The following is a 17,203-nucleotide window of genomic DNA, read 5'->3' as shown; positions in this document are numbered from 1 at the left end:
CAGATACTATCCCAAAGTGGTAACCTTCAGACTCATGAGCTAATTAAATAGTTGTGATGGAACAAAGCCTAACAATCCCAGCTACTTGGGAGACTGAGGCAGAAGAATCACTTGAATCCGGAAGCTGGATTAGCTAGGCATGGTGGCACATGGTTGTAATACCAGCTACTTGGGAGACTGAGGCAGGAGAATCACTTGAATCTGGAAGGTGGAGATTGAGCCACTGCACTCCAGCCTGGGCAACAGAGCAAGACTCCATCTCAATTAAAAAAAAAAAAAAGAGGAAGTGGAACACAGCTGCCTCCATCTCTGGGTAGAGTCTGCAGTTTCCTAAAAAAACTACAGATGTCTGGTTGTGATTTATCAAAGGCTTGACCCTTTCTACGGCATCAGATTTGGTAAGTATTCAGTATCCCCTGGTGGGTTAGATATTTGGAGGTTGGAGTAGAGTGAGGCTAGTTTGAAGGTTCATCTTTAGCTCCATGGATTTGGCCTTCCCAAATTTATTAGAAAAATTCATCAGTTTTTGTCATGGGTGACCTCTCACATTTTGAGGTCATGTTGTGGGAAGAATGAGTTCAGTCCTAGGTCTTAAAGTAGAGGCAGCAAATATATATATATGTATATAAATATATATACATACATATATATATGTAACTCATGAAGAAGTTTGTGAAGGAAACTTCACAATACAGATACAGGCAGTAGATTATGGGGGCATCAGGACCACAACTTGGAAATGCTGAGTCAGGGGTACTTGAATATTTAATTATAAACCTTGAATCTACATTTTTAATACCTTTCCCTCCGTCTGGTATACTAGTAGTACTATTTTAAAAAAGAAAAAGAATGTACTCAGATCTATCTATTCAAGGAATGTTTATTCTTCTTCTTATTATTATACTTTAAGTTCTGGGATACATGTGCAGAATGTGCAGGTTTGTTTCATAGGTATACACGTGCCATGGTTGTTTGCTGCACCCATTAACCCATCACCTACCTTAGGTATTTCTCTTAATGCTATCCCTCCCCTAGCCCCCTACCCCCCTGCAGGCCCTGGTGTGTGATGTTCCCCTCACTGTGTCCACATGTTCTCATTGTTCAATTCCCACTTTTGAGTGAGAACATGCAGTGTTTGGTTTTCTGTTCTTGTGTTAGTTTGCTGAGAAAGATGGTTTCCAGCTTCATCCTTGTCCCTGCAAAGGATATGAACTCATCCTTTTTTATGGCTGCATAGTATTCCATGGTGTATATGTGCTACATTTTCTTTATCCAGTCTATCACTGATGGGCATTTGGGTTGGTTCCAAGTCTTTGCTGTTGTGAACAGTGCTGCAATAAACATATGTGTGCATGTGTCTTTATAGTAGAATGATTTATAATCCTTTGGGGATATACCCAGTAATGGGATTGCTGGGTCAAATGCTATTTCTGGATCTAGATCCTTGAGGAATCACCACATTGTCTTCCACAATGGTTGAACTAATGTAGACTCCCACCAACGGTGTAAAGCATTCCTATTTCTCCAGCATCTATTGTTTCCTGACTTTTTAATGATCACCATTCTAACTGACATGAGATGGTATCTCATCATGGTTTTGATTTGCATTTCTCTAATTACCAGTGATGATGAGCTTTTTTTCATATGTTTGTTGGTTGCATAAATGTCTTCTTTTGAGAAGTGTCTGTTCATATCCTTTACCCACTTTTTGATGGGGTTGTTTGTTTTTTTCTTGTAAATTTGTTTAAGTTCCTTGTAGATTCTGGATATTAGCCCTTTGTCAGATGGATAGATTGCAAACATTTTCTCCCATTCTCTAGGTTGCCTGTTTACTCTGATGATAGTTTCTTTTGCTGTGCAGAAGCTCTTTAGTTTAATTAGATCCCATTTGTCAATTTTGACTTTTGTTGCCATTGCTTTTGGTGTTTTAGTCATGAAGTCTTTGCCCATGCCTATGTCCTGAATGATATTGCCTAGGTTTTCTTTTAGTCTTGAAGTCTTTGCCCATGCCTATGTCCTGAATGGTATTGAGTAGGTTGTCTTCTAGGGTTTTTATGATTTTAGGTCTTACGTTTAAGTCTTTAATGCATCTTGAGTTAATTTTTGTATAAGTTGTAAGGAAGGGGTCCAGTTTCAGTTTTCTGCATATGGCTAGCCAGTTTTCCCAACACCATTTATTCAATAGGGAATCCTTTCCCCATTTCTTGTTTTTGTCAGGTTTGTTAAAGATCAGATGTTTGTAGATGTGTGGCATTATTTCTGAGGCCTCTGTTCTGTTCCATTGGTCTATATATCTGTTTTGGTAGCAGTACCATGCTGTTTTGGTTACTGTTGCCTTGTAGTATAGTTTGAAGTCAGGTGGCATGATGCCTCCAGCTTTGTTCTTTTTGCTTAGGATTGTCTTGGCTATGTGGGCTCTTTTTTGGTTCCATATGAAATTTAAATTAGTTTTTTTCTAATTCTGAGAAGAAAGTCAGTGGTAGCTTGATGGGGATAGCATTGAATCTATAAATTACTTTGGGCAGTATGGCCATTTTCACGATATTGATTCTTTCTATCCATAAGCATGGAATGTTTTTCCATTTGTTTGTGTCCTCTCTTATTTCCTTGAGCAGTGGTTTGTAGTTCTCCTTGAAGAGGTCCTTCACATCCCTTGTAAGTTGTATTCCTAGGTATTTTATTCTCTTTGTAGCAATTGTGAATGAGAGTTCACTCATGATTTGGCTCTCTGTTTGTCTGTTATTGGTGTATAGGAATGCTTGTGAATTTTGCACATTGATTTTGTATTGACACTTTGCTGAAGTTGCTTATCAGCTTAAGGAAATTTTGGGCTGAGACAGTGGGGTTTTCTAAATACACAATCATGTCATCTGCAAACAGAGACAATTTGACTTCCTCTCTTCCTATTTGAATACTCTTTATTTCTTTCTCTTGCCTGATTGCCTTGGCCAGAACTTTCAATACCATGTTGAATAGGATTGGTGAGAGAGATCATCCTTGTCTTGTGCCAATTTTCAAAGGGAATGCTTCCAGCTTTTGCCCGTTCAGTATGATATTGGCTGTGGGTTTGTCATAAATCGCTCTTATTATTTTGAGATACATTTCATCAATACCTAATTTATTGTGATTTTTTAGCATGAAGGGGTGTTGAATTTTATTGAAGGACTTTTCTGCATATATTGAGATAATCATGTAGTTTTTGTCATTGGTTCTGTTTATGTGATGGATTATGCTTATTGTTTTGCATATGTTGAGTAAGCCTTGCATCCGAAGGATGAAACCGACTTGATTATGGTGGATAACTTTTTATATGTTGCTGGATTCAGTTTGCCAGTATTTTATTGAGGATTTTCGCATTGATGTTAATCAGGGATATTGGCCTGAAATTTTCTTTTTTTATTGTGTCTCTGCCAGAGTTTGGTCACAGGATGATGCTGGCCTCATAAAATGAGTTAGGGAGCAGTGCCTCTTTTTCTATTGTTTGGAATAGTTTCAGAAGGAATGGTACCAGCTTCTCTTTGTACCTCTGGTAGAATTCAGCTGTGAATCCGTCTGGTCCTGGGTTTTCTTTGGTTGGAAGGCTGTTAATTACTGCCACAATTTCGGAACTTGTTATTGGTCTATTCAGGCATTCAACTTCTTTCTGGTTTCGACTTGGGAGGGTGTATGTTTCCAGGAATTTATCCATTTCTTCTGGATTTTCTAGTTTATTTGTGTAGAGGTGTTTATAGTATTCTCTGAGGGCATTTTGTACTTCTGTGGGATCAGTGGTGATATCCCCTTTATCACTTTTCATGTCTAATTGATTCTTCTCTCTTTTCTTCTTTATTAGTCTGTCTAGCGGTCTATCTATTTTGTTAATCTTTTCAATAAACCACTTCCTGGATTCATTGATTTTTTGAAGGGTTTTTCATGTCTCTATCTCCTTCAGTTCTACTTGGATCTCAGTTATTTCTTGTCTTCTGCTAGCTTTTGAATTTGTTTGCTCTTGCGTCTCTAATACTTTTAATTGCAATGTTAGGGTGTCAATTTTAGATCTTTCCCGCTTCCTTCTGTGGGCATTTAGTGCTATAAATTTCCCTCTAAACTCTGGGTTAGCTGTGTCCCAGAGATTCTGGTATGTTATGTCTTTGTTCTCGTTGGTTTCAAAGAACTTATTTATTTCTGCCTTAATTTCATTATTTACTCAGTAGTCATTCAGGAGCAGGTTGTTCAGTTTCCATGTAGTTGTGAGGTTTTGAGTAAGTTTCTTAATCCTGAGTTCTAATTTGATTGCACTGTGGTCTGATAGACTGTTTGTTATGATTTCCATTCTTTTGCATTTGTTAAGGAGTGTTTTACTTCCAATTATGTGATCACTTTTAGAATAAGTGCAATGTGGTGCTGAGAAGAATGTACATCTATTGATTCAGGGTGGAGAGTTGTGTAGATGTTTATTAGGTCCGCTTGGTCAAGAGATGAGTTCAAGTCCTGAATACCCTTATTAATTTTCTGTCTCATTTTGGTCTGTCTAATATTAACAGTGGGTGTTAAAGTCTCCCACTATTATTGTGTGAGAGTCTAAGTCTGTTTGTAGGTCTCTAAGAACTTGCTTTATGAATCTGGGTGCTCTTATATTGGGTGCATACATATTTAGAATTGTTAGCTTTTCTTGTTGCATTGATCCCTTTACCATTATGTAATGCCCTTCTTTGTCTTTTTTGATTTTTATTGGTTTAAAGTCTGTCTTATCAGAGACTAGGATTGCAACCCTGCTTTTTTTTTTGCTTTCCATTTACTTGGTAAATATTCCCCCATTCCTTTGTTTTGAGCCTGTATGTGTCTTTGCACGTGAGATGGATCTCCTGAATACAGCACATCAATGAGTCTTTACTCTTTATCTAATTTGCCAGTCTGTGTCTTTTAGTTGCAGCATTTAGCCCATTTACATTTAAGGTTAATATTGTTGTGTGTGAATTTAATCCTGTCATTATGATGCTAGCTGGTTATTTTGCCCATTAGTTGATGTAGTTTCTTCACAGTGTCGATGGTCTTTACAATTTGGTATGTTTTTGCAGTGTCTGAAACCCGTTTTTCCTGTCCATATTTAGTACTTCCTTCAGGAGCTCTTGTAAGGCAGGCCTGGTGATGACAAAATCTCTCAGCATTTGCTTGTCTGTAAAGGATTTTATTGCTCCTTTGCTTGTGAAGCTTAGTTTGTCTGGATATAAAATTTTGGGTTGAAAATTATTTTCTTTAGGAATGTTGAATATTGTCCCCCACTCTATTCTGGCATGTGGGGTTTTTGCAGAGAGATCTGCTGCTAGTCTAGTGGGCCTCCCTTTGCTGGCAGGCAGGAATGTATAAGTCTGCTGAAGCTGTGCCCATACCTGCCCCTTCCCCCAGGTGTTCTGTCCTAGGGAGATGGGAATTTTATCTATAAGCCCCTGATTGGGGCTGCTGCCTTTGTTTCAGAGATGCCCTGCCCAGAGAGGAGGAAGCTACAGAGGCCATCTGGCTACAGCGGCTTTGCAGTGCTGTGGTGGGCTCTGCCTAGTTCGAACTTCCTGGTGGCTTTGTTTACACTGTGAGGGAAAAACCGCCTACTCAAGCCTCAGTAATGGTGGATGCCCCTTCCCTGACCAAGCTCTAGTGTCCCAGGTAGACTTCAGACTGCTGTGCTGGCAGTAAGAATTTCATGTCAGTGGATCTTAGCTTGCTGGGCTCCGTGGGGGTGCGATCTGCTGAGCTAGACCACTGGGATCCCTGGCTTTCAGCCCCCTTTCCAGGTGAGTGAACGGTTCTGTCTCGCTGGTGATCCAGGCACCACTGGGGTATGAAAAAGACTCCTACAGCTAGCTTGGTGTCTGCCCAAACGGCTGCCCAGTTTTGTGCTTCAAACCCAGGGCCCTGGTGGCATTGGCACCCAAGGGAATCTCCTCGTCTGTGGGTTTCTGAGACTGTGGGAAAAGAGTAGTATCTGGGCTGGAGTGCACCGTTCCTCACGGCATAGTCCCTTACGGCTTCCCTTGGCTAGGGTAAGGAGTTCCCTGACCCCTTGAGCTTCCTGGGTGAGGCGACGCCTCATTCTTCTGCTTGCCCTCTGTGGGCTGCACCAACTGTCTAAACAGTCCCAATGAGATGATCCGGGTACCTCAGTTGGAAATGCAGAAATCACCCACCTTCTGTGTTGATCTTGCTGGGAGCTGCAGACCGGAGCTGTTCCTATTCAGCCATCTTGCGCACGACTTAATCCAAGATGCTTCAAGGAATCTTTTATACACAAGAACAACACATGATCCTCTTTGCACTTTCCTAGAAGACAGATAGGGAATGAATTAAGAAGCCCTGGTTTTCTTTTCTGGTATACAGTGGTTATAGAGTATTCCTCTGTTTAGCCTTAGGCTGTTATAATCCAGAGAATACAGTGACATTTCAGATAAAAACAATAAAAAAGCAACTCAATACCTTGCATTTGTGTTATGCAATAGTTTATAGCAAAACAGACAGGTACTGGTTTTGATGATGAATCACTTTGAACTCTGTGCTATCTTTTATCAAAGTCTAACTCAGGGAAGCGATAGTTGAGGAAAATGGAAAGACATGCTATTGATTTAGTAGGTCCCGGGAAAATGATAGAAAACAAAATTATTACATAGTAATTAGTGGAGACCAAAGAATCCCAATAGATAATTTTTCACTTTTGAAAATTTTGGTGCTTAAGGAAATTTCTACCATCTTTTAAAGCATGAATCTCCATTATCCAAAATTTTTAGTATTATAAAATATTCTAGTTTATCAATTTTATCTTAAAATATATTTTATAAATACAAAATAATATATGTAACTTTCAGGTAGGTTCTAAAGCATAATAATTAATGAACATCCATATAACCAGCTAGCCCAAGACTTAGACTATTACTAGTAATGAGCCTATGAATTCTTCCCGTTTCCATTGTCAGAGTAAATCTTTTTTCCCAGAAGATGTTGATACCACCTAAATTTCTAATAGCAAATGCTGGAATCAATTCAAATATCTATTAATGGGTGAGGAATAATTTATGGCTTATTTATTGAATAAAATATGCAAGATTAAAATAATGAATTGAGTGATGTATAATAACGGGTGCAATTTGGTAGCATAATATTGGGTGAAAAAAGTTTCAAGAGACTACATGTAACATAATTCTATTTTTATAAAGCCCACAAATAAGGAAAACCAAATAATATATTGTTTGCAAATGTATGTTAGTAAACTATAAAATATAGTAAGAGAATTATAAATGGATTGCTATTAGATTTACTTATTTGAGTATTATAGATTTTATACTTCCATAGGATATTATTAGAAGAAATTATTAGAAGTTATTTATGCCATGAAAAATAAAGGTAGCTAGTATGCTGGCCATAAGGTCAAATATAGACATTGTGATTACACATATGTAGTTTTACCTTCTTTACATAAAGTCATTTACATATGACTTTCCCTTCTTTACACAATTATTTTCACTAAATTATCCCTTAATATTATGCTCTTAAATAAGAAAGACATTAAAACAGATTTTGCAGTTTCTGCTGTCATTATTCACTATGACTTTTAAGACTTCCCCCATGTGCATTCTAATGACAAGAATCCTTAATATGTAGATCATGGACTTCTAGAGGTTCCAAGGATAGGCTTGAAACAGTTCATGAATCTTTGAAAATGTCTATAAAATTTCTTTGATTTTCTTTTTCCTTTTTTTTTTTTTTTTTAGTGCCAGGTGTTTATTCCCTCACACGTGGGTGGTTCACATACACAGCACACACAGGCGCGGGCACCGTGGGAGAGGGCAGCACTCATGGCTTCCGAGGGGAGGATCTTGGCCTCAGGGTGTAAGAAGGAAGAGGATGGTTTCTCTCCTTCCCTCATTAGGGCCTAGGGGACCCAGCAGCAAATCCTGCCCCTTCCACCTCTCAGCCAAGGAGAAGCCACCTTGGTGACGTCTAGTTCCAACGATTATACTAAGTGGAGAAGGGAGTGGCCTGGTCCCAACCATTACAGGGTGAAGATATAAACAGTAAAGGAAGGTACAGTTTGGATGAGGCCGCAAGAGGGGGCAGATGACACCATCAGAAACATGTGCAGGGGAGGGGCAGTTACTGGGCTTCTGGGCTGCTTAGTCCCTGGCTTGGCAGGAAGGGTAGGGAAGATGGATGGGGCTCATTGTTTGGCATTGATGATGTCCACGAATTAGGGCTTGAGGGAAGCATCACCCACGAGGAAGCCATCCACTTCAGGCTGGCTGGCCAGCTCCTTGCAGGTTGCCCCCATCACAGAGCCTCCATAAATGGATACGGGTGCTCTGAGCCACCACATCAGAGATGTTGGACACCATTCTCAGAACTTCTCGTGTACTTCCTGGGCCTTCTGGGGTGTTGCAGTCTTGCTGGTACCAATGGCCCACACAGGCTCGCAGGCCAGGACGACCTTGCTCCAGTCCTTCACGTTATCTGCGATGACCTCTTTCTTCTCGAAAACAAACTTCTCAGTGATGCCACTTCCCTTTCAGCTAGCTTCTCCCCAGTGCAAGCGATTACTCTGAGTCCCTTTGCCAGAGCATGGGCCACTTTCTGCCCAATCAGCTTATCTGACTCCCCAAAGACATGCCTACTCTCTGAGTGCCCCAGGACCCTCGATTGGCTTTGCAGTCTTTGATCATGCCAGGGCTGATCTCCCAAGTAAAGGCCCCGTTAGTTACTTTGTAGCAGTTCTGCGCAGCCACAGCAATCTTGGGCTCTAGCTTCTGGGGCAAAGTCGGTATAGGCAGTGGGGAGAGTGCAAACCACCTCAGTGTTGGCCGGCACCTTGGCCGCCTTCAGAGTGCGGATGAGCTCCCCCAGGCTCTTCTTCCGTCGGTTCATCTTCCAGTTCCCCCCAACGAACTTCCTGGAGGTCGCCATGGCGCTGGAGCTGAGGTGCTGAAGGTCAGCGTCAGCCTTCAGTGATTTTCTAGGTTGGGGATTATAGGTTTTATGATATTCTAAAAGGTATCATGTTAAAAAAAATGTAAGAACCTGTGTTGTGAGATTAGTATGGGCAAAAGCTTAAGGTTCATTTCTCTTGAAAAGTTGAATTGCTTCCTCACAGCAGATACTAAAAATTTATTACACATCATGGTTTTCTTTATTTTTAGCCACTAGGAAGCTCAGAGTCCAGCTAATGCTTATTCATAATAACCATATTTGTCTTTAAGTCTGGCTTATTTTCTTCCTTCTCACACTCTCTTTTTTTGAATTCTTTTAAATTGTTATTCTATAGAACATATGTGGAGTTTTATAGGCATCTGCTATTTTAGCCTACTCTAATACATGAATAATAATGATCAGTCTTGACATGTTTTACATTTTAGAACCTTAAATTATAAAGAAAAAATTTTTTATATCTTAATCTATATACTAATTAAAAAATACATTTTTAAATTGCCTTTCTGAGCTTGGTTGGAAGACTCATTGTAAACCAAACATGACAGGCTGTTTGACAGAATTGTAATTAATGAATGTTGGCCAGAAACCTCCTCTAGCTACTTCCTTACCTGGCTCCCATTTTGCTTCTGTGGCTCTCATGCTGATTGGTGCTGTCTCCCCTGCCTCTTACCTTGTTTATCCCGTTGCTTTTCAATTCTAACTGTGCACATCTTTGCTGGAGAATTTGACACAAGCTCCCTGTGCTTTCCCCTCATTTGCGGGTTTGTACACATGTGTAGGATTCATTCTGTTTTCCTCCAAATCTGCAAAGCAAGGCAGGAAAGTGTCTTCAGTTGGGCCTTTCTTCACTCTACCTGAATGAGACCCAGGTGCAGTAGAGGAGAAATATGAGGTGTAGAGAAAACAATCAAAAGAAAAAGAGGAGACACATTAGTTTAAAATGTGGGTAAAAAAGGCAGGTGAATTTTTAATAAACATTAGAAAAGAAGATGTTTATTAAACAAATGATCCCAAAGGCAAAAATAAAAGAAATAAGCTAATGTTTAAGGAAAACAAGTAAAGTGAGAATGTGTGAGAAACGATAGAGAATAAGAAGGGATTTACGAGTAGACAGATAATAGTATGCAGTAGCTGAGGGAAGGCTGGATGTGGATATTGTGCTCAGTATGGAAATAAGTCAGACAAATATGGGCATGCCAGAAAGTTCATGATTCTGTGCTTATATTATTTTAATTATATTTTTAAAGTCCCTGGAGCTTTTGCTCCTTTACCATTGGGTCTGTAGTGTAGAAAATGAAATTCTAATCATTGTCATTGAAAGTGAATTAAGCCCATTTCTTCCCTCATTCTACTTTCTTTATATCAACCAAATTATCTATTACACTTTGGTGTTGTTTATCTTTCTTAATGTAAAAAGAAAGCAATGCACAAAAATACGAACACCTGTTGTACAGGCAGTGGAACCAAGTAAGAGACTTCAGGGACCTAAAATTAAATTTGTTAAAGCAACTTAATAGTAATATAAAAAATCTTTTATATTTGCTAATGGGAAATTGGCTGTACAGGCATTTTAAAGGTGGTAAAACCAAAGGCTTCTGTAGGGTATTAGAGTAAGTTAACAGCTTTGCTTGGCTGAGTGATTCAGAAAGTCTACAAAGAAAGCAGTGATACATTTGGGTGTGCCTGACATTCTCCATTAGGACAAACATGAAATATGTGTTATTTGCTGACTTAATATTCAAAGAAATACTATGTTAATAATACTAAAAGTAACTTTTTTTCTCTTGGCATGCTCACATGTAGAATATGAAATTGCTTTTTGAGGAGTTAAAGGAATACATAATTGAACTTGGATTAGAGAAGGTTCATATGTTTCTGCACAGTTCCAATGTTGACATAGGACAGTGCTCATTTAATTTGCTCAACATATCTGTACATTTAATTTACAGTTAAGTACATTGATATCTATGTTGTAACGTTATTTTACTTATTTAATGAATAAAGTATTATTTTTTTCCTTTTCAAAAGAATATTACCACCTTGTTTGACTTTGAAAGTCACTTCCCAGAAGCTAATTTTCTCAAAAGCAAGGGAAGACTATCTCTCAGGAATCTTTGCTCAACAGTTTTGGGATGATATAAAGGATTTTGTTTTACCATTTCTATTGCATCATTGTACACTGACAGGTCATTGAGCACACTTGGGTGATTCAATTTTGTACAGAGGGTATTATGAGAAAAATGATCCCAAATTATTTTTCAAACTCATGTTTTCTGTTATCAATGTAACATTATATTTTACCAACTTTTGTTTGCTGTAATTTTGTACCATGTATAGAAATAGGGGTATAAGTAATGAATGTTTTAGTTTGATCCAGCAGTAAGTAAGTATATTTGCTGAGGGCAACCCAAGTAATTGGCTCACTGCATTCCTGAAGCTTATCTTATCAAACAGATATCAGACACTGCTGAAAGATGGAGGTGGAGGGAACTATCCCTGTTACTCGAAGATTTGTCATAGAAAGAGGCTTTGTCTAAGCAAAGAAGGAAACTCTGTCATTTCTTCTTAAGTTGCTGATCTAGTTTAAGAAGCAAAGTATATTTGCTGAAACTTATTTTTAAAAAAAGTGCAGGCAGCTCTCCCACTGCTTGTTCCTTTTCTGTCCAGACATTTTTCCTAGAATGGAAAACTGAAATTAAATCACTTTTAATGGAACTTAGAGGTAATGGTGATTGAGAAAGAGAGCCAGATGAAGAGAAAGAAAATAGATAGCATTACAGGATGGAGGAAAAGAAGGATAAGAATAGGGAGAAGGTAATACTTAAATTTCTATTATAAAAGGAAAGTAGCAAGTGTCAAACAATCTCTCTCTACTGTAAATAGAAACCATAGAAACAGATATTCACCTGCTCGCTATTTATTTACGGGTAGTTGTTGCAACAACTGAGTACTTGTTAGCCAGCAATGTTGAAAAAAAAGTGAGTGCAGTAGTGATTAAGGAAAACGTTTAAGAATTAATTCTACTAATAAGCCAATGAGTTGATAGTTTGATTTTAAGGAATAGCTACATACAGCGTATGACAATTTTCCTTGCTTCTTCATTTTTTGATTTGGGCATTGGTTATATTTAATCCAAATTTACTAGCTGTCATGTGCTAATACTTTGCTAGTGAGTTATATTAGCAGACTATAACTTTGAAACAGAATTTTCATTCAATGTTATTACGTAGAGAGTTTCTGAATGTGTGTTTTTGATGGATATGTAGATGTGAGTAATGGTTGTAGTTATATTGGAAAAGAATAAGACTGTTAGAAATGTTATAATGTGGATGATCCTTAAGCATCCTGTGAGGTCAACTGAAATTGGATATTTGTGTACTGATTTCTTAGAACAATTTTTGACCTCTCTTGAGGTCACCACTATAACTTAAATTCTCATTAGTAAAGAATTAAATCATTTGTCAGGACTAAGTTCTTCTTGGAAGGCCAAGCAGCAGCAAACAAAATCAGTATTCTTAACTCTTAAAAACAACGCTTGACTCTACTTCCCCTCTGATTACTGCACACGAATCTCTACTATATAGCAAAACTCTGAAAAAGTTGCCTATACTCAGGGTCCTATTTTTTTCTTCTCTCTCTGATCCCCCACACCACAATTTTAAAATTTTTATTATAAAAAAGTTCAAACATATAAAAAGGATAGAGAACAGTACCACTAGGTACCATTACTCAACTTCAACAATTCTCAACATATGGCAATCTTATCTCATCCTTATATTAATATTTCTTCTTCCCACCCAATTTCCATCCACTATGGTGTTATTTTGAAGCAAATCCTAGGCATCATATAATTCTATCTGTAAATAATTTTGTAAGTATATCTAAAATACATGAAATACTCTTAATGAACAAACATAATTATAAAATAATCTCTCCTAAAAAATAAAATAACCCTAATATTACCAAGTATCCAGGGTAAAACTTCTCACAGTTTTATAGTTTGTTTTTTATGGTTTATTTGAATCCAGATTTTTGTGGGTATGTCTTGTGGTTGCTTGTGAGTCCACATAAAGTCCATTTGTTATAATTGATTTGTCTCTTTTAATCTTGTTTAATATGGATCTTCTCTCTGCGTTAGTTTCCTTGCAATTTATTTCCTTTGCCTGTGGAATTTCCCACAATCTGAATTTTGCTGACTCATTCTCTCTTGAACACACTGCAGTTAGACTATTCTTCTTACTACTCTGGGAAGCTGCTCTTATCAAAAGTCACCAAGGAAATTCCATATCGTAATACTTGTTGGTCAGCTCTTAGTCCTCATTTTAGTTATCTACATTATTTTTGATACATAATAATTATACATATTTATGGTGTACATGTGATATTTTGATTCATGCATACAATATATAATGATCAAGTCGGGGTAATTGGGATATCCATCACCTCAAACACTGATCAATTCTCCGTGTTGGGAGCATTCCAAATTCTCTCTTCTAGGTATTTTGAAATATGCAATTACTGTTAAGTATAGACATCATGCTGTACTATTAAACATTATAACTTATTCCTTCTGTCTAACTGTATGTTTTTACCCAGTAAACAACCTCTGTTCATCCCATGAATGCAGGAGCATTCATCCCATGACCTGGCCCCGCAAAGGTTACCCCAGCTCTGTCAACAGCAAATATCCTCCATTTGCTCAGGCCGAATACCTTGGAATCGTTCTGATTTCCATTTTCTTTTCATACCTCATTTCCAGACACATTGCTTTGCCTCTTCCTTCAGCAGTGTCCACAAATGAACCATCTCTCACCAGCTCCTGTCCCCATCTGGTCCAACCTACCTTGAACTTTCAATCTGGCTTAGAGTGATAGTTTCCTAACTGGCCTCTGTGATGTAACCCTTACCTTAAATACAGTCTATGCTCAACCCAGCAGGCAGAGTGACCCCATTAAAATGCCAAAAAATTAAAATTACTTCTCTGTTCAAAATCCTCCAGCAGTTTTCTCTCTGACTTAGAGTTGACTTCTGAGTCTCCTTGCAGGGCCTTTCAAGGCCCTAATTATCTCTCATTTACACCATCACTTCTCTGACTTAATTCCTCATTTCTTTTTCCTTGGCTTCTTCCACTTCTGCCACAGGACTTTTATGAGGCAGAAAAGTAGACACCTAGTTGAAAAATGATTTTATAAAATTTGTTTAGAGCCTAGATTTTAAAATTTATTGTTCAATAAATTTGTACAAAATAAAGAGAAAAATAACTGGCTCAATTAGAATTTAAAAGCTGAAGAACTGGTCTCATAGATGTAATACCTTGCTCTATCCTGAACCACTGATCTATGGGCTTAGGACAAATTATCCCTAAGTAATTTATTTTTATATTAAAGGGAAAGTGTCTTTTTTGGTCCATGTATGTGTACATTTATCCTGAGGATATTGGTAAACATAGCCAGTTTTAAAGTCTATTGATATTGTGGTAATGACTATTATTCTTACTTAGATATTTGAATTGAAATGTAACCTTTTAATTAGCTTGTGCTGATGTTTCATCCTGCCTGGCAGTTCAAATTGATCTTATTAATAACTGGCTGCCTGTGATCCATCATAGAGTCTGGAGAACACAGTCTTTCTTGCTCAAGTATGCTGAGTGCAAGAAGGGACAATCTGAGAGGTGAAAATAGTCTCTAGTATTTCTAAAAATGACAACAAAAGGCTACGTTATTAATAAACAGATTTCTAGATTTCAGTCCTAGGCATTTCACAACCCTTGATTGCATTTGCTTTTCTCTTATTTCCATAATTTAAAAATTTTTATTTTTATTTTTTTGCTTATCACAGGCATGAATTCCATTATTTATGTCTGCAAAGAAGAATTTTTTTAATGAATTGAATGCAATATATACACACCCCAAAAAAGCTGTAAACATGGAAAAACAATGTGAATCAATTCTGCGGTGCTATTACATAAAATTACTCTCTGCATCTCAAAGATGTTTCTCCCTCCCTCAAGAAATTAAACATGGCCATGAAATATAAATGAATATGTATTTGCAGTAATGCTACTTGACATTTTAGTTGTAATTAACAGAACTTCCAATATTAACCAACATTAATTAACAATGTAAAGTGTTTAAACATGGATTGTAATAACAATGCTGAGTGGATTATGCACATTCATCAATACACCACATGTTTGTTAAAGATTTCTCTTCAAATTCTGTATTATTAAGCAAACTTATTAAACCTGCCATGTGAATCTTGATTTTTTTTCTCTATACTTATTCTGTAATGATCACTCCTTCCTTAGGATATCGTGGTGTTGGGGATAGGCTGCATGTTTGCCTCTTTTTATCTTAAATGTCAATCTTTTCTCATTTACATGTAAGAGAACATTGTAAGAAAAGCATCTCTTTTTTCTCATGTGTTGCAGATAATGTTTTTCAGTTTTAGCTTGCCTTTTGACTTTTATTATGTTTTTTTGCTACACAAAATTTTAAAAATATTTCTATAATATTGCCTATTAGTCTTTCACTTTATGATTTTTACCTGTGTTGATCTTCTCAGAAAAAATTTATTGTCTTCCATGTGCTCCATATGTGGATGAATCTGAGAAATGATACACAGTTCCTGACCCTGTAGGCCTTAGAATACAATGAGGGATTCATTTTATTAGGAAGGAACCTTATGTTGGAAATTTTTCTACAGCTTCCTCTTGTGTATATTTTGGATATGAATTTAGTTATAATGTCAGAATTATGGTGACAGTCTGTTAGAATGAAGTAATGAGAAATAATTGTAAGTCTGGGAAAATCTTTTAGGAATTTAAAAATATCTGAGAGTTTGGGACAGTTTTCATGTGAATGATCATATTGTTTCTCAAAATAAATTTTATTCCTAATCTGCTGTTTCATATTTCATAGATAAATTGGTTAAAGATAACCAAGACATGGTGTATTTTTATAACACTTTCATCTTTTAAGAAACAAATTGAAAGAAACCTAACTGAATCTATTTCTAGCTGATCTTGATGTAATTTTGATGTCAGACTTGGGGTCACATGGCTTTGTGGGAGTCCATGGACTCTAATTCTGATTGGCTTAGATGTACACAGATCCATTGAGTTGATTTCTTACTCCAAATTGGGGTGATGTGGAGTTTGGAACATAAATTAAAAGTATTGTTGTGAATGTGTACTCATTTCTCTGCCATCCAAATTGTTCAATATCCACTTTAAATCTAACTTCCTGCATTACATCTCTTCTCAACCATTAGAGCTAGATGTGATTTTCCTCCTCTCTGAAATTCACTGAAGTATTTTTGGCACAAAGTAATATGTTATGTTATAATGACATTTTTGAATGTTACTAAAATATATTTTTCAGGTGATATATGTATAACAAATTTATTATACAAAAGTAAAATATCTTAGTTTTCATGTGCTTATGTTTTCTGCATGAAAGTAATCAGTGTACATATTCCACTTTTTTACTTCTATGCATTTTAAGGTGCTACCAAGTCTTCAGCTTAATTTTTCTAATTTTCATATTTCTGTCAGTGAATTAATCATAATTTAACCCTCATCTTAACAGTTAGCATTTAGACTTTCTTACACTTTTTATTTTTCTAATGTTTGAATAGCATAGCAACAAATTTCTTCCCATATAAAGATTTTTCCATGTTTTGCACGATTTTTTTAAGGATAGAGTCCAAGAATCTGAGTTACTGAGCCAAACAATGAATGATTTAAGGCTCTTACTGCTTATTGCCAAATATGTTTGTAAAGGATCCTACTGACTGCACAGCTTAAGGGCTTAGTCCCACAGGAGTGTCCTCTACTGCAGATACCAGCTACAATCCCCAGGTTGTGACCTTTGCTTCTGACCAACTAGCTATAAATTGGGTGCTTCCCATGACCCACTCTTGGGGTTTGATTAGTTTGCTCAAATGGCTCACAGAACTCAGGGAAACACGTTTACCAATGTATTCCAAAGGATATTGTAAAGGATACAGATGAACAGCCTGATGAAAGAGATTCACAGGGTGAGGTATGGGGAAAGCAATGAAGGGTTTCCACACCCTCCCCAAATGCACTACCCTCCAGACACATCCACATGTTCTTTTTTATGGAGGGTTTATCACGTGGGTATGATCAATTATTAGATCTCCAGCTCTTCCCTCCTCATGGCTTGTTCTTTCTGGTGACCAGCCCTGATTCAGAAGCCCACCATGTGTTACCCCATTAGAACAAAAGATGCTC

At 37.2% G+C, this 17,203-nt stretch overlaps 1 protein-coding gene and 1 pseudogene across 10 annotated transcripts in view; one reads left to right on the top strand and one right to left on the bottom strand.

Annotated features, from left to right (window-relative positions):
• The window catches only part of FRK (fyn related Src family tyrosine kinase), a 169,577-nt gene that overhangs the window by 53,048 nt on the left and 99,326 nt on the right, over positions 1–17,203 (top strand). The gene's annotated exons all lie outside the window — the stretch shown is intronic.
• On the bottom strand, positions 7,734–8,947 carry TPI1P3 (triosephosphate isomerase 1 pseudogene 3; annotated as a pseudogene). Its single transcript, NR_027338.1, has one exon. The product of NR_027338.1 is annotated as a triosephosphate isomerase 1 pseudogene 3 (transcript).

The sequence above is a fragment of the Homo sapiens genome, chromosome 6 (genome assembly GCF_000001405.40).
Source record: "Homo sapiens chromosome 6, GRCh38.p14 Primary Assembly".
NCBI classification, from domain to species: Eukaryota; Metazoa; Chordata; class Mammalia; order Primates; family Hominidae; genus Homo; species Homo sapiens.
Note: the sequence above shows the minus strand (reverse complement) of the source record. Positions and strands in the feature narration are given on the sequence as shown.